Source organism: Homo sapiens, chromosome 1 (genome assembly GCF_000001405.40).
Source record: "Homo sapiens chromosome 1, GRCh38.p14 Primary Assembly".
Lineage (NCBI taxonomy): Eukaryota > Metazoa > Chordata > Mammalia > Primates > Hominidae > Homo > Homo sapiens.
Window position 1 is genome coordinate 104401494 of NC_000001.11, and position 20962 is coordinate 104422455.

Here is a 20962-nt window from a genome sequence, read left to right on the forward strand (position 1 = left end):
GGTCAGCTGAACTGAGTGAGATTTTTAGAGGTCGACTGGCTAGTGGTCGATATGCAAGTGTGAACATTTCTGAAGTTAAATTTTCAGCCTTAGCTTCATGTCCTATTACTGGCTAGGAGAATGATAACACATTAAAACTAGTCCAGTTAATGTTAAAGTTAGAGAACAAATTTAATGAATATGCCCCCTTTTTGCAGAAAGGAAAAAAATGTAGCAATCAAAAGTTATAATCTCATGGAATATGTAGATCTGCTTCATAGTATATTGCCTAATGAAACAAAGATATAATTTTCCCTTGTGGTTTTTGAATACATACATACTTGCATATATTCTTGTCAGTTATTTCTCTTTTACATCACTTGTTTTCTGCTTGGCTCTTAAACAAAATTCCAAACAACCCTGAATTGTGTCTGAGTGTTTATTTTAAAACTCCTTGAATGTAGACAAGTCCTTTGAATTCTAACCTAACTCATGTTGTAACATCTTCTTAATTCAACATTTGTTAGGTGGCTTCAGGCCAGGTTGAGAGTAATTTTGGTACCAGGTATGTAGGCAAACATCTTAGCCTCTCTGATTGAGGTTGATTCTAAATGTGAAGAGTGTCTTTGCACTCATAAATCAGCTGAAATCTCTTTATGTAGAACTATAATATGTTAAATATGTATTTCTAAATTTTCATATTTTAGTATCTTCTTGGATGTTAGGAAATTATGTCAAATGTCTGAAGTTCATAACTTGAGCTGCAGGATTGCTAAAGAGAAAATATCTTGTCAGTACATTCTTTTAAAAAGATCCATATGTTTGGGACATTTACATATAAATGGTTTGGAATAAGCTCCAGTTATTGTTTGATACTGGGTTTAACTAAACTGGGCACAATGCCAAATTTGCCATGGCTGGAATCCTTTATTATCACATTCAATGGTGATTATGCTTGAAGGAGAGAATGAGAAGACGTCTGCATCAGAAGTCTGCCCAGGGGCACCCTTATAGAGTAGGTTGAACGTCTACAAAAAATAAATTTGCACTAACTTCTGTGTCATTTGATTCATTACCTAACAACAAACCAGGATAGGAAGGTGATGTCTTAGGAATGCTTCAGAAACAAATTTTTAATTATTTATTCTATTTTTAAATTTAAGAGTGTTTTTCTGATATTTTATTTTTTCTTTTTTTTTGTGAATTATCATTTTTGTTTTGTTTAAATTTACTTAGCTTCCCCTGTAAATCAACGTAAGTAGCCTAGTGCAGTTTTGTCACAATATTGGCAATGAACTCGTGTGTTTCTGAGACTCAGGTTTTGTCTATGTCAAGCTTCCTCAATAAAGTAACTATTGACTCACAAAAATTGGTCAATAAATTTCACCTCTCAAGAGACTCTGAATTTTAGTGGTAATAATGTTTACACACAATATATTCATAAGCTTTTCTCGTGCCCCAATATTTAAATTCACACAAACATTCAAATTAAACATGACTTACACATTGAATTATCTTTGACATGGGAATAATGTCGACATAAAATATTTTTAAATGTTTCAGAACACATTAAGTTTTTCAAACTTACGTCTTATTTTTAACATTGATTAACTTATAGTTTATCCAGTCAAAGCATTCTAGGGACTATAACTACTGTTGTTAAGGACGTAGACATTAAAAGCAAACTGCGTGGCTTGATACTGAAATTCTACTACTAGTTTGGTGACCTAGGAAATCACTTAACATACTTGTATTTCAATTTTCTTGTGTATGAAATGAAGTTACTAGTATTTATTCGTTTTCTTATTTTTTTCTTTCTTGTTTTTCTTAGAGATCAGGGTCTGTTTCTGTCATCCAAGCTGGAGTACAACGATGCCATCATAGCATATTGCAGCTTTAAACTCCTGGGCTCAGATGCACCTCCCATTTCAGCATCCTGAATAGCTGGGATTTAACAGGTGTGTGAGACCATGCCCAGCTAATTTGTTTATTTATCATTATTATTGTTTTTTGTATTGATGTGATCTTGCTGTGTTGCCCAGGCATGTCTCTAACTGATGACCTCAAGCGATCTTCTTGCCTTGGGCAACTATTTGTAAATAATGAGTAAACACTCGATGGGGAGAATGAAAAAAAAAAAAAAACTAGTCTCTTTTTTTCTACTTTTGTCAATTCCTGCTTCTTAAAAGCGGGTATTTTTCATGCTTTTAGCTGTTTCCTTTGTTTCTTAATATTATAAAATTACATGTTAAATATGCTAAATATTATAAAATAATATGCTAAATATTATATGCCAAATATAATTATATGCTAAATATATTAATTTAAATATCATTAGCATATTAAATTAAATATGATTAGCATATAAATATTATATGCTAAATGTTATAAAACATGCTAAATATTATAAAATTACATGTTAAATATGCTAATATTACTAATTTTAGACTGACTTCCTATCGGGAAAAAGGAAGACCTATTTATGCCCCTCATATTATCTCTCTACCACAAACACACAGACACATACAGTTCTTCTACCACATGCAAAACAACTTTATAATAGTTTTGTCTAGATCAACATTAATGTAATTATACAAGTATTCAAAGCTGAGTCAGCAAATAAAATAAAATTACATTTTCTTCTCAACACAATTTGCTTATTTTTCCTGAAGGAAATGACTATTTTTCTTTTGTTTTCTTTTCCATTTGCTTAGTTTCTTCTAAGTACTTATGATTAATTCATGCCAAAATTCTGCCAGAAAATTACATTCAATATGTTAACAAATATTCAAATTACTAACCAATTATAAATAGTGGTTCTCAGTAGATCTGATGTAGAAGTGATTCTCTTCTTACTATCAAATCAGGGTTTCTTTTTTTTCTCTTTCTTTTTTCCTTTTTTTCCCCCTTTGTCTCTTTCCTGCACTGATTTCCCTATTTTCTGGATGCTGTTTTTGTTTAAACTCTTTTTCATGAAATTTCCAGTAGTTTCTGAGAAACTGTGAGCAAGAAGTTGAGTATTTGGAGACCACACATGTCTGAAAATATTTTTACTTCAATATTACATTGATAAAGTGGATAGATATAGAATTCAATGTAAAAAAAGAGAAGACTTAAAAACTAAAAAATGCTTTCTAGCTTCCAGTTTAGCTTTTCAGATTAAAAATTACTTACATTTTTAAAATATTTTAAGAATGTCGTAATTTGTATATGTTTGAAAACAAAATATCAAATTCACATTTTTATTTCATCCAATATTCTAAACACTATGGTTAACAAAGTTTTGAGAAATTTTCTGTGTTATATTTTGTTGATTTTTTTCCCCATCCATATTATTCTTCCAACCTTTCTGGAATTTCTAGTTTGGATATTAACCTCCCTGAACTATATCTCAAATTTTAGAAATTTATCTCTGATAATTTTTGTAATTAATTTTTTTCATGCTCGGCTTACTGTGAGAATATTCTCAAATTTATATTCTAACTTTATGATTGGATTACTTCATACGCAAAGGCAGATACACCCAGACACAACAATTTTTGTTCTCTTCATGTGACTTTTGTATTGTATTGTTATTTCATGGATATAATATCTTTTCTTATTACATATATACTCTTTCATTATGTGTTTAAGGCTTTACTATGCTCTTTTTTCTCTGATTTTCTGATTTATAACTGCTTTTGTTTAAAATTTTGATTTATAACTCTACTTCTGTTTTATCAGAGGTTTCATAAAAATTCCATCTGTAGACATTTAAAGCAATAAAACCTGTCCAAAATATCAATATAAGCATGCTCAAACTTTCAGTGTTAAATTTTATAGTAAGAAGAGCCCATTTGTTTGATTAGTAGAGCTGCAAATTTCAGTGTCTGCTGATTTATGTTTTGTATTTGCCGTTATACCCACAGAGATATTTTAGCATTTTTCAATAGAGAAGTTTCAAGTATTTTTACAGTATTAAAGACAGATAAAGAGCAAAATGGGGGTTTAAATTTTATTTTAATTCAAAATTTACTTTAATTATTTTTAGTGTGTTATTGTGGCTCCCTGTAGAAGTGTAGAGTCATTTTAGTTCAAATACTTTAATGATCATCTGCAAGGGTACTCTTTAAGTACTTACTGAACGTATTGTGGTACACATCCTTACTTTCTGACACTGAAAGATGGCCCAAACTTATCTTGTATACTTCTTGAACCCATCCGAGAATTGTATTTAGTGAACTCTGGTTCTTTTAATTGGAGAATGGAAACTAAGATCCAGATCCTTGTTGGGTTACCACGGTGTCATTATTTCTAGACCCTCTCAAAAGGTCCTCTAGGCCCAGACAAAACAAGGCATAGATACATACACAAATACAGGTGTGTATACTAGTATGTGTACATACGCATTTCTGTAAATATTTTCTTTTGTTACCAATTTTTCTATATCAGAGTAAGCACAAATTCATACTAGTGTCTCTGACTCTAATCCACTATTATGTGAATTGTTCTGCCCATCTTCTCTTGCTTACCTGTAACTTCCAACTCACACAGTGAGAAATCTGACTTCTATCATTTGCCATCCATTTGCCTAATTGTTCAATTCCAGTATACATATAAGAGTATTCAAACTTTTTATCCAACCCCTGTGGTAAACTATTTTATCAACCAGAATATAATAGCTATGTACAGTTCTTTGCCTTTAGTATCACAAACTCTATTGGAGTTACTATTCCCTCAACCTTCTTTAGTAAGGTTGTTTCATACTTTTTTTTTTTTTCCTTTGAGATGAAGTCTCACTGTTGCGCAGGCTGGAGTGCAATGGTGTGATCTCGGCTCACTGCAACCTCCGCCTCCCGGGTTCAAGGAATTCTGCTGCCTCAGCCTCCCAAGTTGCTGAGATTATAGTCGCCTGCCACCATGCCCACCTAATGTTTGTATTTTTAGTAGAGATGGGGTTTAGCCATGTTGGCTAGGCTGGTCTCAAACTCCAGACTTCAGGTGATCTGCTCACCTCGGCCTTCCAAACTGCTGGGATTACAGACTTGAGCCACGGCGCCCAGCCAGTTTCATACATTTTGAACACAGTCACATTGTTTTGTCACATTCCTCATTCCACAATTGAATCATTACACCTCCTACATGATATTTTAAAAATTTGCATTCATTAAGGTTCATATTTTTGTGCCATATAATTCAATGGATTTTGACAAATGCAATGTCATGCATCCTGCTATAGTATAGATGTTTGCTTCCCTGAACCTCATGTTGAAATTTGATCTATGGTGTTGAAGGTGAGGCCTAATGGAAGGTGTCTGGGTCATTGGGGCAGAGTCTTTATGAATAAATTAATCCCCTCCCTGTGGTGATGGGGGGGCCTGAGTGAGTGCTTGGACTGTTAGTTTCTATGAGAGCCGATGGTTAAAAATAGTCTGCCCCTACTCCCCCTTACATGCTTCCTCTGTCACCGTGTACTCTGCACATACAGGCTCCCCTTTGTTTTCTGCCATGAATGAAAGCAGCCTGAGGCTTTTACCAGAGGCCCAGTGTTCAAACCAGCAGCACAGTGAGCCAAATAAATCTTTTTTTCTTTATAAATTAAGTCTAAGGTTAACCTTTAAATAGGAAAAAAAAAATTCCTTGTGCTTCACCTATCCCACACTGTCTGCCCAACCCAAACCCCTGGCAACCGCTGATCATTTTATACTCACTACTGTGTTTTTCCAGAATTTTGTATTACTGGTATAATACAGTATGTAATCTTTCAGACTGCTTCCTTGTACTCAGCAATATGCGTTCAACAACATTCATGTTGTTTCCTTGTTTGGTAACTCAACCTTTTTAATGTATAATAACATTTAAGTGTATGGTTGTACTGTATTTATTAATTTGTTTATAGGAGGATATCTTGGTTGACTCCAGCTTTCAGTAACATGAGTAAAATTTCTATAAACATTTGAATTTTTGTGCTGACCTTGTGTCCGGAATTGGTGGGTTCTTGGTCTTGCTCACTTCAAGAATGAAGCCACGGACCCTTGCGGTGAGTGTTACGGTTCTTAAAGATGGTGTGTCTGGAGTTTCTCGCTTCTGGTGGGTTCGTGGTCTCGCTGACTTCGCGAGCGAAGCTGCAGACCTTCGCAGTGAGTGTTACAGCTCTTAAAGATGGCGTTCATTCTTTCCGGTGAGTTCATGTTCTCTCTGGCCTCAGGAATAAAGCTGCAGACCTTCCCAGTGAATGTTACAGCTCATAAAAGTTGTGCGTCCGGAATTGTTCCTTCCTCCTATCCAGAGTTGTTCGTCTTTCACGGAGGGTTCATGGTCTTGCTGGCCCGAGTAGCTGTCCTTTGCAGAGAGTTCGTGATTTTGCTGGCTTCAGGAGTGAAGCTACAGACCTTTGCCCTGAGTGTTACAGCTCACAAAAGAAACACACACCCAGAGTGAAGAGCAGCAAGATTTACTGCAAAGTGCAAATGAACAATGCTTCCACAACACAGAAGGGGACCCCAGCAGGTTATCGCTGTCGGCTTGGGCACCCTGCTTTTATCCCTTTATCTGACCACCCCCCCCACTCACATCCTGCTGATTGGTCCATTTTCCACAGAGCTGATTGGTCCATTTTACAGAGAGCTGATTGGCCCGTTTTTTACAGAGAGCTGATTGGTCCATTTTGACAGGGTGCTGATTGGTGCATTTACAAACCTTTAGCTAGACACAGAGTGCTGATTGGTGCGTTTGCAATCCTTTAGCTAGACACAAAAGTTCTCCAAGTCCCCACTAGATTAGCTAGACACAGAGTGCTGATTGGTGTGTTTACAATCCTTTAGCTAGACACAAAAGTTCTCCAAGTCCCCACCCATCCCAGAAGCCCAGCCGGCTTCACCTCTCACTGACACTCCCTGCCCGACTTTGGGGCACCTAGCCCAGGCACTCTGGCAGCTCAGAGGGAGCTCATCCCCCCATCAAGCCCAGGCAGGCGACAGCTGGCACTGCTGAGTGTGGGACTGGTGGAGCCCGCACCCATCCAGAACCCCCACTCCCACCCGTGCCTCTCCCTCCATACCACCCCTCGAGCAGAGGGAGCCGACTCCAGCCTTGGCCAACCCCAGAGAGGGGCCCCCACAGTGCAGCCCACACAGAGGCAGAGGAGGAACCAAGAGCGAGCAAGGGCTGCTAGCATGTTGTCATCTCTCAACATCAGCTTTCAAAATTGTTAAGTCAATACGCCAGGAGCATGATTGCTGGATAATATGGTAGATAACGTTTAGCTTTTCAGGAAACTGTAAAGCTGTTTCCAAAGTGGCTGTACAATTTTGCAACCCACCAGCAATGAATAAGTGTTGCTATAGCTCCACATTCTCAGTAATATTTAGTATTGACAGTTTTTTTTCATGTTTACTATTCTAACAGGTGTGTAGGGTTTCACCTTGTTATTTTGATTTTCAATGCTCTAATTACAAGCAAACTAAAGCATCTTTTCTTATGCCTATTTTCCATCTTTATATTTTTTAGTAAAAGGTCAATTCGTGTATTTGTGAATTTAAAAAATTTATTGTTTTTCTTTTTATTGTTGAATTTTAAGTTATTTTTATATGTTGAATCCACATTTTTCATCAGATATGTGTTTTGCAAATATATTCTCCCAATCTGTGGTATATCTATTTATTCTCTTAACAGTATTTCATGGAGAAGTTTTCAATCTTAATAAAGTACAACTTATCAATTTTTTATGTCATGCTTTGAATGTAATCTTAAGATCCATTGCCAAACTCAAGATCTCATAGCTTTTCTCCTATCTTTTCTTCTATAATTTTTTTTTATTATTATTATACTTTAAGTTTTAGGGTACATGTGCACATTGTGCAGGTTAGTTACATACGTATACATGTGCCATGCAGGTGTGCTGCACCCACTAACTCGTCATCTAGCATTAGGTATATCTCCCAATGCTATCCCTCCCCCACTACCCCCACCCCACAACAGTCCCCATAGTGTGATGTTCCCCTTCCTGTGTCCATGTGATCTCATTGTTCAATTCCCACCTATGAGTGAGAATATGCGGTGTTTGGTTTTTTGTTCTTGCGATAGTTTACTGAGAATGATGATCCTTCCAATATTTAAAACGTCATTCCACTACGTTTTTGCTTGTATGGTTTATCATGAGAAGTGTGCTGTAATTCTTATATAGCTAAGGTGTTTCCTACTCAACTCCTTCCACAGTCTCTTTCGGGATATTTTCTTTGTGTTAGTTTGTCTGCAGTTTGAATATAATATGCCCAGGTGTTTTGGTCTTGTCTTATTTTGTTTTCATATTTGTTTCCTTATTTTTTATATCTGTTATGTGTTTTTAATTGGGAAAAATTCACAGCTATTATTAACTGAATAGTTCTGCAGCTCTGTTCTGTCTTCTATTTTTTTTAGATATCACTAATATTAATGTGTGATACCTTTGGAAATTGTCCCAAAGTTTGTGCATATTTTATTTAAAGATGTTTCCTCCACATTTCAGTTTTGGAATATTCTATTGATCTATCTTTAAACTCAATGTTGCTTTTTCTTCTGCTGTGTCCAGTCTTCTGATGACACTGTCAATGCTAGGCTTCATATATGTTATAGTATTTTTGAGATATTCTTTAGTTCTGTTACAATTGTTTTATTTCTAGCTTTTCCTTTAGAATCTTCCTTTGAGTTTCTATTACTCTGCTAATGTAATCTATTTTCCTTACATGTTATCTATTTTTTCATTAGAGCCATGAAAATATTAATAATAATTATTTTAAATTCTCTGTCTAATAATTTCAATATCTGTGTCATATCTGAGTCTGGTATTGATTGCTTAGTTACTTCAGATTGTATTTTTCTTGGCTTTTAGCATTGCTTATGATTTTTGTTGAAAATCAGAAATATTGTATTGAGTAATAACATCTGTGGTAAGTACACCTTTAGTGTGAGGGTTTATGTAAATCTGAATAGGAGTTGTGCTGTGTTTAATATTTTCTATAACTGTAGTTACCAGAGGTTTAACTTTTTTCTAATGTCCTTGTTTTTGTCTTCACTTTTGACTTTCTACTTCCCTATGTACTCTCCTCAGAAAAAATTTGCCTCTTTTCCCGCTTTCAGATGCAATCTACTGTAATTACACTAAAGTACCTGTTGGTTTGATGTTAATATGTGAAGATGAGGAAGCAGTCTAAATCTTATGATTAAATCTCAGTCTTTTAGTAATCCTATGTCTCTGAACTGTGACATTCACAACTGTCTCCCCAGTGCTGTAAATTTTTTTCCCTCCTATGTAAGAAAGAAATGTTAAGAGGTGCTAGAGTGTGAAGAAATGTCTTCCTGCAACTAAAGACATATTCTGATAAAGTATTTCCCTCTGGAGAGTAGGTCATTTTAATAGATAATGTTCTGAACATATTTCACAATGCTTAATTTCCAGTCTCCCTGACAGTCTGTCAGTGGATATTTCTTAGCTTTACAATATGAGAACTGGTGGGATTCCAAGAGGTAACCACAAAAACATGTGTTAGCACCCATATACTAGAGCCCTTGGAGTTTCTTACTCTTTTTCCAGTCTACATTTAAGCTCTAGCAATTTATTATAATGAACATTTTAGTATTCCTACCAATCTGTGGCTCCAGTAACTTCTGCTCCAGGGTATCAAATCATGGCTGAGACCCTCTGGACTTCTTATCTCCATATTTTCAGGGTGGTGGTTTGCACTGCAAATTCAGTTTACTGATAGTCCCAAAAAAATCACTGATGTTTAGTTTACTCATTGGTTTATTTTTTCTAAGAACAGGAGAGATTTTCAAGGTTTCATATGTCACATTTGAAAAAGGTGGGTTTTTTGATATATTATTTTATTTTTTATGTGTTTTATTCTGGAATTCTACATGTATTTCAGTCTCTGGTCTATAATTCTCTACTCTGATTTGTCTAATTTGCCATTAAAGTATACCTTTTATCTTAATTTTATCTTTTGTTTCCCAGTTGTAATATTTCTATTTGATTCCTTGTTATGTTTTTATTTTTTTGCTAAAATATTTCATCTTGTCACTTAAAATTTTTTAACATAACACATTTATTAAAATAATATATATACATATTAGCCCTAACATCTGAATAAAGTTTGCTGCCATTACTATTGCTATTTTATTTGTTTCTTGTAAATTCTTGTCATTTTTACATAATTTAATTGAATGCTAAAAATTGAATTAAAAAAATTAGCAAGATTTGAAATTCTTAATCCTGTTACCTTTCTTCAGAAATAATATATTCTTGCTTTCCAGGAGTTGATTAATTAGGCACAGATAACCTTTAATCAAATGACTGGAAGATATACTTCAGTCTTGGTGATCTCTAGATTTTGACAATTTCTTTTATCACTAAGGCCTATTCCTTTCTGTTCCCTAACAGTCATGCTTGACTTCTTTGTCGGACATTAAACTTCAATGCTTCGGCCACTGTTTATGTGACTGTAAAAAGCTCTGCCAAATGTTTTGCTTCTCAGCACCTATTTTAAAATTGAAAAATGCTTCAAAAGGCAAAACTTATCCAGGCTTCTACTTTTTGCGTGATCTTTTTCCCTCACATCCTTTTTTTTGCCTTCCAAATATAGGTTTTTTTACTTGTCTTCACTGAGACAGTTGTTTTCAGTTAAGCCGTTCTTCTATTGCTGGGAGCAGAAATCCTGTAGTAATTATTTATACAAACTGCATGTTAATTGCTTTACTCATTAAAAATATACACAAAATAATATTAAAAATTAATGAGTGAAAATTTGTAAAAATGTACTCAAATAATGAATATTAAAGAGGGAATTTTTAAAGCATAAATATCAATAAAGAATAAACTTTGTTTAAAATATGTATTAAAATGTTTGAAAACTTTGTTAACAAGACCTGTCTTATTGATGTGAATCTATATAAAAACTAGAATACCATTATGTTTAGAGCAGCACAAAGTGTTTCCTGAAGGCTTTGGATACGGCTTTTGAAAGTGCCTCACTTTTTTTTTTTTCTTGTATGCTCTTATTTCTCTAGGACATTATCATTTGTTTCAGAGGTACTATATTCCTTCTTATGAATTTCTCCTGAAAGTAATAATTCCAAGAAATATTGGGAATATCTGTCTAAAGTGTTCAACAATGAGGGAAATTAGATCTTAATGTAAATGTTTGCATGGTATGTTTTTTATATTCAATGAAAATAATATAATTTAAGCCACTAAGCCTGCAGCAATATATCCTGAAGGATATAATCTAATCTCTAATTTTCAATCAATGTAAATGATGATAATTATAATGTGAATGATACAACGAACACTCATAAAAATGAGAATGGTCTCAATAACATTTAAATGCTTTTTTTCTCCCCACTATCTAATGATGATGTGCATTTGTTTTTTGACAGCCTGGTAGATGCTTTCTTGGATAATGTTTATATATTAAGCTGTAAAATAAGTGTATATGCCTTGTTAGAACTGTCCTGTAGTATTATGTGAATAGTTTTGTTATGTATAGAAAATGTTGGCCATAGCATTTATTTCTGTCATTTCCTCTATTTATTTATTTTTTTTGTTAAACCTACCCCTGCTCCAACAGCTCTTTGCCCACCATTTTCCATGAGAGTAATTTGTATTTTGTTTTTTAGCATAGCATAAATTAGAATTATTCTTGTCTCTTCTCTTTGGACCATCCAACTGACAAAAGTCTTTATTTTTAAAGAACTGATATCAAAATAACACCTCAGAAGAATTTTCATGATGTCATATGTACCTTTCTTCAAATCTTTAGTAATTTCTACTTGTTATAAAAATTAACAATTTTTTATTCATATCTATGTACATAACTTTTATCATCTTGTACCCATGTAACACATTAAACCAAAAATATACCTTGTTTTTTCTGCCCCTTTTATTGTCAGTTTTGCTCCTATCTTAACTACAGTTCACTGTGAAAATAGAAATATGAATCATCAGAATACTTTAAAATATGTAGCCAATATAATTCTAAAGTATATTTTACCTAATTTATAACAAAATCACGGATATAATAAATCAAAAAAGCACTATATAAAATAAAATCCTTGAGCTAAATAAATTGAAAAGGGAGGTGAATAAAAATGTAAATTTTTTTGAACATCTATGATGATAAAGAAAGTCTGAGAACTTAACACTGAGTTTCTTTGAAAAGAAGAAGAAAATAAAAATGCCATGAAGTTTTTATTATCTAATAAACAAAGCATACTTTTTTTTAAACCATGGGCTTGTTTTACTTATAGCTCTAAATTCTGAAAAGAATATGATGAGCTGCTTTTCGTATTCGAGACTTTAAAGCATATATAAAAATGATTTATTTCCATTGTCTTGAAGTTTTATGTACACTGATTGCAATTCTTAAGAAAATCTTCAATAAAACTTAAGTACAAAATTTTATCGTAATCCTTTATGGGTAATAATGGGAATTAGAAGCTGATATATACTATCTAGGAGTGTAGCTTTACAGTATTAATAATGAGAGATGATAGTCAACTCATGTGAAAGTACTGATTTATAACTATTTCTGTTAGTTTGATAGTGAAATTCATGTTGGATAATTCAAAACAGAAATACCAAAAGAGTCTTGATGGACAGATATTGTTTCTTTACATGAAAGAAGATACATGGTAAATATATGGGAAGATACCATTTTATAAATGTGCAACTTATGAATATTGCATCAGCTGTCATTTTATTAATAAAAAGTAGAACCCTTACACAAAAGGTGAATTGCAGGAATACATGCAGACAAAAACAACTTTTTTTTCTTAAAAAGGTACTCTGGGGTTATAATATGCTTTACTATAGCCAAAATGTTCCAAATCTTTCATTAAATTTTGTACATTATATCATGGGTTCTTTCAGGCATTTGGTATATCAGGCAGTCCTACCTTTCATGAATTTCCCCCCTGAAGTACAACTGGCAGAAAACCAAACTTAATTTAAAAAAAAGGGAACTTCTATATTTCTGTGAATAATAATTCTGTAAATTCTTAATGAGGGACTGTAGTGCTCTAATTTTTCAGCAATTTCTGTTCTGCTTCGTTCAATAGAAGGCTTTTGGATTTGAGTTTAGAGCTCAGGAGAAATTCCCCAAGTAGCCACAGAGTAAGAAACAGGAACAGTTTCAGCAGCCAGAGGAGAAATGCCTGAGTGTAGAAATCTGATAAATGCTGATAAGAAGTTTCACTCAATTTACCCTTAGAGGCTCTGGCTACAATTTTGAAGACTGAGATCTATCTAAGAGTAGAATTCAGGGGCTGTTCTAAGTTGATTAACAGTGCTGGAGATAGTAAAATTTAGTTACATGAGAGGAGCTGAGGTTAATTTGAAGTAGGAGAGAAACCTGAACGTGCTAATCAAAGGAGGGTTAAAATTTACAGTTAGGCATTGGCAGAGGCTTCTCATTAAAACAAATAAACAAAAAGGGCAAGGTGAAGTCATGAGCAGAAAATTAAACTGGACAGATTATAGAAGCCCTTTTCAAGCTGAGGTCAGAAACTTGAGATTGGGAGACAAAGTTGAGGAAATAGCATTACATTTGAGTCCACTCTTCAAATTACTGCAACCATTTATCTTGCACCAGCGAGAGGTTCCCCAAACATCTCTAACTTCAATGTTGGACTACCAAGGTTCTGGGTTTCCTTTGCTGTTTCTCAGTCTTTTTGTTTTGTTGTTTTTCTCTGGCAATACTGTTTTCTGGGCTGAGAAGTAATACTTATCTAGGTTTGGTTAGAAAGTATTAGTTTTTCAAAGCTTTAACTTTAGATTCTTGCTTAACCGTCTATAATTGGGGCAAATGATGGTGGGTGGATTTTTCTGGCATTTGTTGTCAGTTCCAAGCCAAACCCACTTGATCTCTGATACATTTGATCTGTTTTCCTCATTTATCAATAACAATCAAATCTGTTTTCTATTTGAGGTTGATTTTAACCAGATTATTAAATTAATAAAGATAATCACTGTTATGATGTTTATGTCAACACAGCAGCATCCAGGTGATCCACAGGGGAAGCATCTTTAGGAGAATGTTATCTTAGTTTCTGCCCTCCTCCGTTAACCATTTTTACTATTAAGTAGTGAAAGAAACCTGTACTAAGCCTTTTCTCTTTTCTCTATATTCTGTCCATAGAACTTAGTAAAATTATGAAAATTTTTGCCTAGGAATTCAAAGTAAGATGACTCTATTAATCTGTTCTCACAATGCTAATAAAGACAAGTGCAAGACTGGGTAATTTATAAAGATAAGGGGTTTAATGGACTCAAGTTCCACATGGCTAGGAGGCATCACAATCATGGTGGAAGGCCAAGGAGGAGTAAAGGCAAGTCTTACATGGCAACAGGCAAGAAAGCATGTGCAGGGGAACTGCCCTTTATAAAACCATCAGATCTCATGAGATTTATTCACTCTTATGAAAATAACATGGGATAAAACCACCCCTGTGATTCAATTACCTCCCACTGGATCCCTCCCATGACATGTGAGGATTATGAGAACAACAATTCAAGATAAGATGTGGGTGGGGACACAGCCAAACCATATCATTCTGCCCCTGGTCCGTCCCAAATCTCATGTCCTCACATTTCAAAACCAATCATGCCTTCCCAACAGCCCTCCAACGTCTTAACTCATTTCATCATTAACTCAAAAGTCCAAGTCCAATGTCTCATCTGAGACAAGGCAAGTCCCTTCCACCTACGAGACTATAAAGTCAATAGCAAGTTGGTTACTTCCTAGATACGATGGGGGTACAGGTATTGGGTAAATACACCCATTCCAAATGGGAGAAATTGGCCAAAATAAAGGGGCTACAGGCCCCATGCAAGTCCAAAATCCAGCAGGGCAGTCATTAAACCTTAAAGTTCCAAAATAATCTCCTTTGATTAAAATTAAGAACTTCAAAAACTAAATAAATTAAACAAAATAAAATATTATAGACAATTACCATTTTACAGAATACAGATTTTAATATTCTTTGTCATTTACATCAATGGTTATGCTTATTCTTGTTCATCAGTACAGAAAGATATGTTCACAATAGGGGCAAAATTATCATAATGCTAATGTTTCTGCATTTATAAATATATCAACAATATCTTCCAACCCTCATTTGTTGTATTGTGTTGATAATTATAAAGATATTGGTACTATTCTAGCATACTGTCAGTAGAATAGAGGCCTAGTGCAATTTTCTCATAGATATTTATAGAAACATTACATGTTCTGTTTTACCAGCCATAACTGTATAATTGATAAATTCCTGCATTTTTAAGTTATTGGAATATTTTTAATGTGAAGTGACCTTTGGCATTAATTTCCAATTGCTCTGGAGCTTGCTATGAAAATCACTAAAAGAATTAATGACTTCTCATAACTTTTACCAAACAGGGTGTTGCTGGCTGTTTAGATCTTTTCAAGATGATTAAAACAAATTATGGTCCGACAGAAAGATAATGAAGAAAACGCAAATGAAATAATAGATGGCTTTAAAAAGTCAACAGTTTCCTATTTGGTGAGTATATTAGATCACAGGGAACAAGCATCTGCTCTAATATTCTAGATATTTATTTAAATTTCATCAATTTACTTGGAATATTTTACATGATAAATTTTGAGTAATGATGAATATAGCCTGTAACCATACATTACTATTTTATTTAGAAACTTTAATATATTTCTTCACATTGCATCTTCTATTTCAGACATCATTAACATCCCAACATAAGAAATGAGGCTATGGCACCTGAGTCACTTATTTATTTGAGCAACAAAAACATATATTTTAAAAAGCACATTTTAAAACTCTTCAGATTTGCAGTGCCATGTGAAACTAAAAGTATAGCTATAGCATTCTGAGGTTTTTGAGATTAATCTTGTAATTATTTACTGTTTTACAGTAGCATATCCAACAGTTCTGTAATTCCTTATTCTAATAATCTTTTGTTACTCTTTTAAAAAATAACCCACAAAATTTTACATTACTTTTTCAATTTATGCTGACTTTATTTCCTGAAACTTTCTATTGTATTTTGCTGTAACTAAAAGGCTTGCTTTCTTTTGTTTGTTTCCTATGGATATCTTCTTCTATTTTCTCTCTTTCTTTTTCTTTCTTTTCTCTGTCTCTCTCTCTCCCCCAGCTAATTTTTGTATTTGTTTTGTTTTGTTTTGTTTAGTAGAGATGGGGCTTCACCATGTTGGCCAGGCTGGTCTTGAACTGCTGCCCTCAGGTGATCCACCTGCCTCAGCCTCCCAAAGTGCTTGGATTACAGGCGTGAGCCACAGTGCCTAGCCTAAATTTGGCTTTCTTTAAAAACGTCTCAAGGATCTAATCATGAAATATCTTTAAAATACTTGTTTCCTGTTTATAAATGTTCATATTAAACTGTAAAAAATCAATGTATATGATAGTAGTTTTTTTTTGTTTTTTGTTTTTTGCAAATGTAGTATGTAATAAATCTTGCCATTTCCATATATGCTATTTTAGGCAAAAACCTTGAAACATACTAATATCTAACTTTAAAATGTGGTGTTCTAATTTATTATAGCCTTCCAAAATTTTTTGAGAATAGTACTTATGATTTCATCTGGTGACTGTCCTCACTGAGCAACATAAAAGAACATGATATCAGAAATTGTCAGTATTTTTACTTAGTTCAGTACAATTATGCTAAACTAATTATGATATAAAAATAGCTTTTGAGTTAATTACTGCTTATTTCAAAGGAATATTAATCAACACAAGGTAACTGACACTAAATTTGTTCAAGATTTATGTACTGTGTTATAAAGTAAAAATGTATATTTAATATTTATAAATATATTAAGGTGCCTTAAATGACTTGAAGAATCAATAAGTATTGTAAACTTAAACTGCCACTTTATTATAATTTCCATTTGGTCACTTCTCAAGTATTTTTTTTTTAATTCTAAATTTTGAAGTATTTATGAGCACAATTAAGGGGGAAAAAAGATATGTTGATATTCGGGCTTTGTTATTTCATTTATAAAGCACAGGCAGAGTAAATTTAGTGTAATTATTTAGGGTCCCAATATTTTCAGAAAGGAAAGTGAGTATTGGCTTCAACTTAAAGTCAGCAGCTGCTTTATCCCAGAACAAGAGCGTGAGTGAGCCTGTTCTTTGACTGTTTGAAGCCAGGCACTAACTTCTCATCTCTAGCTATGAAAATCCTAGATGGCATCTTCATCCAATAGAAGGCTGTTTATTCTACACCCAAAGTCTGTTGCTTAATGTAACTATCTTTACCAGTTTCCTAGCTACAGCCTCCAGATAACTTGCTAGAGTTTCTCTATCAACACCTGGTGCTTTACTTTGCAATTGTATGTTATGGAGGTGGCTTCTTTCCTTAAACCTTATGAACTAACCTCTGCTTGCCTAAAACTTTCTTCTCCAGCTTCCTCACCTCTTTCAGCCTCCATAGAACTAAGGAGACTTAAGGCCTTGTTCTGGATTAGGCTTTAGCTTAAGAAAATGTAGCTGGTTTGATATTCTATTCAGATCACTCAGACTTTCTTCATATCAGCAATAAAGCTGTTTTGCTTTTTTATCATTTGTATGTTCATTAGAGTAGCATTTTTAATTTCCTTCAATAACTTTTCCTTTCCATTCAAAACCTGGCTAAGGGACCTAGCTTTCAGTCTATTTTAGCTTTTTATGTGCCTTTTTCACTAAGCTTAATCATTTCTAGCTTTTGATTTAAAGAAAGAGATGTATAATTTGTTTCTTTCATCTGAACACTTAGAGGCCATTGTAGGATAAATAATTGACCTAATTTTAATATTGTTGTGTTTCAGGGAATAAGGAGGCCTAAGGAGAGGGAGAGAGACAAGGGAACGGCTGGTTGAGGAAGCAGTCAGAGCACACTCATTTATGATTAAGTTGGCTGCCTCATATGGATGTGCTTTGTGGTGTCCCATAACAATTACAATGTAACATCAAAGATCACGTATCGCAAATTAACATAACAGGTATAATAATAAAAATAAAAACTATAAATGTTAGAAATATTGTGAGAATTATCAAAATGCGATATGATACAGAGAAACCAAGTAGGATATGCTGTTGGAAAAATGGTGCCAACTGGCTTGCTGGATCAGGCTTGCCACAAATCTTCAATTTGTTAAAAGAACACAGTATCTGTAAAGTGCCATAAAACAATGTGTGCCTTTAGCCATTTTAAGTTTACCATTTTTCAATTGACAGTTGATGATGATTTGATTGTACAGAATGTATCAAAGAGTTCATAATTTGTTGATCTAACAATATAGAGATACAAGAATAATTGACTGTGTTTAAACAAGGCCTTTCTGTTTATTAGTGTATTGATATTGTACAAGTCTACTTAAATAATATCTAAAACTGACTTTCCTGATTAATCAACACCACATTTGCTTCATAAGGCACACTACAAAACACAACATTCTTTGAAAGATAAATGCTTGTGAATATTTGACCAATCTCTTTTCTACCAAATGCATGTATATTTGATTCAACATTTCAGTTTTATGCTTAACTAGTTGTGTTTGTTTTTAAGCTATTTATGTCAGTTATTCTGTTTATGTAATTACATGAGGTATGTTATGCGTATCATATATAATTATATTTATATATTTACATATTATTTATTAATACACATGATACTATTATATAACATATAATAGTATGTTATATATGTCTCCACATATATAACATTATGTCTCCACATAACAATGATACAATAACATTCTGTCTCTACATAATACAAAATGAATATATTATTATATATACATTTTAAAAACAAAGCATGTAGGTGGAGAAATAAATATGAATATCATGTTAATGAAAGTAGGTTGTCATATTTCTGAAAATGTGAACTAAGACAAGGTTACACTTTTCTGAAGCAAGCTGAGAATATATTCTCAATCTTTTTATTTCTAGTCCAAACTTTGTCCCACCCAATTACTCTACTACTCACTTATTGTAATGAGGGTGGAGCTGGCTGATCTACTTGTTTTTCATGCATTGCATATGGGAATAAGTTTCCAAACTCTTAATGTTTTGGTTATTCTCAAAGCTTTTCTCATCGTAGTTCTGTCATTATTTTGCTAAAAGACATCTTGTATACTCAATCTGTATATTTTATGGTATTTGTCTAGTAGGAGGTGAATCAGTCTGTTTTATATAAAACACAGATCTATATATTTGTATATATGTGTAGATGTGTGTGTATATATATATCTTAATTCATTTTATATTGCTAAAACAAAATATATCAGGCTGGTAATTTATAATGAAGTTTATTGGCTTACTGTTCTGAAAGCTGGGAAATTCCAAGATTAAGGCACTGAGATCTGGAGAGGGCCTTTCTGCTGCATTACCCCATGACATAAGAGCCAAGAGAGAATAAGAGAAAGCAAGAGATCCAATTGCAAGCTCTTTAGGAACTGACTTTAATCCATTCATGAAAGCAGAACCCTCATGATCTAATCATCTCTTTTTAGGCTTCAGGTCCCAACACTGCTGCATTTGGAATTAAGTTTCCAAAGCACGTTTTTCGGAGGACACAGTTAAACAAAACAATATGTGTGTAGATATAATCCATCTATGTATTAATACTGTTTTATATCAAAAGTTTGTCAATTGTTGATATAGGCAGTAATAGATGCAATCAATATTGAAAAGGAAAATAGGTGTGATTTGCTAAAATTTAAAAAAATATTGCCTCATTTCAAGGTGAAGATGTACTTTACCTTTGGTCAAGTCTAGAGTTTAAATCTCACATATTATTGTAAATCAATGTGGTGATTTAGTTGAACATTTTAAATGTAATTTTATATACATTTTATGTACTTTCTATAAAACAGATTTTTGCTGGATGTTTGGGTTACAGGTAAATCGTACATGGCTTAAGATGCTTTAAGATTTAAGATTTAATTTTAATTTAATACTTTAAGATTTAAAAAGATAAATGGTCTATACAGTTGTTAAGTTTATAATCAGCAAGTTAAGTTTACTGCATTTTCTGTTAAAAAAAACAAACACTCAGCACTTTGGGAGGCCGAGGCGGGTGGATCACAAGGTCAGGAAATCGAGACCATCCTGGCTAACACGGTGAAACCCCGTCTCTACTAAAAATACAAAAATTAGCCGGGCATGGTGGCGTGCGCCTGTAGTCCCAGCTGCTGGGGAGGCTGAGGCAGAAGAATGGCGTGAACCCGGGAGGCGGAGCTTGCAGTGAGCCAAAATCGCGCCACTGCACTCCAGCCTGGGCGACAGAGCGAGACTCCGTCTCAAAAAAAAAAAGAAACAACAACAAAAAACAAAAACAAACAAACATATAAAAAACTTTGTTCACCTGTATCTTTTTGGTTAGTTTTATTACAGAAGTGATAATACTTAAGAGTTTTTAAAATTTTAACAGCTCAGAAAAAAGCTAAGGTGGATTTCATATAACAAGTTATATCGCCTAACTTTTATATTTATAGCAGCACATGTATGATCATGAACCTTAAGTAAATAATCATACAATACCAACATTGTCACTTGGTTAACATATGCAATTTAATATTTTATTTTGTAACAGTAAACAATGTAGAGGTTAAATAAATTTGACTAGGTGTTCAGTGATGTGTTTAATAAACCAAAAAAGCTAATACCAGATCAAATAGTCCAATGTGTTATTATTTTGTTGTAATTGTTAAAATGCATACTTCTGGCCAAACTGGTTAACACTGAGCTAACAATACATCGCAGCAAATTTTGAATTAATAAGATAGTGTATTTCTTTGTATAACCTTTTAAGCCTATTTGGCTATTCATCTCTTTACAATTCTTTGTATTGTGACATCTTCATTGATGATATTATATTATAGTGCTTGATTTATTATTAGCTTCAGCTTTTCAAAAAAAGGAGACCCTGTTGAAAGATGATGCATTGTGTTAAACTAAATAAAGCTTTTACTGAAAA

General features: G+C 33.5%; 1 annotated feature.

Annotated features, from left to right (window-relative positions):
• Positions 5544 to 6743: an enhancer, noted in NCBI's record as "BRD4-independent group 4 enhancer chr1:104949659-104950858 (GRCh37/hg19 assembly coordinates)". NCBI's record gives its function as "activates an origin of replication core promoter dependent on BRD2, P300/CBP, MED14 and CDK7 cofactors, and independent of BRD4, by STARR-seq in HCT116 cells {active_cell/tissue: HCT116}" and the evidence as "EXISTENCE:reporter gene assay evidence [ECO:0000049][PMID:35650434]".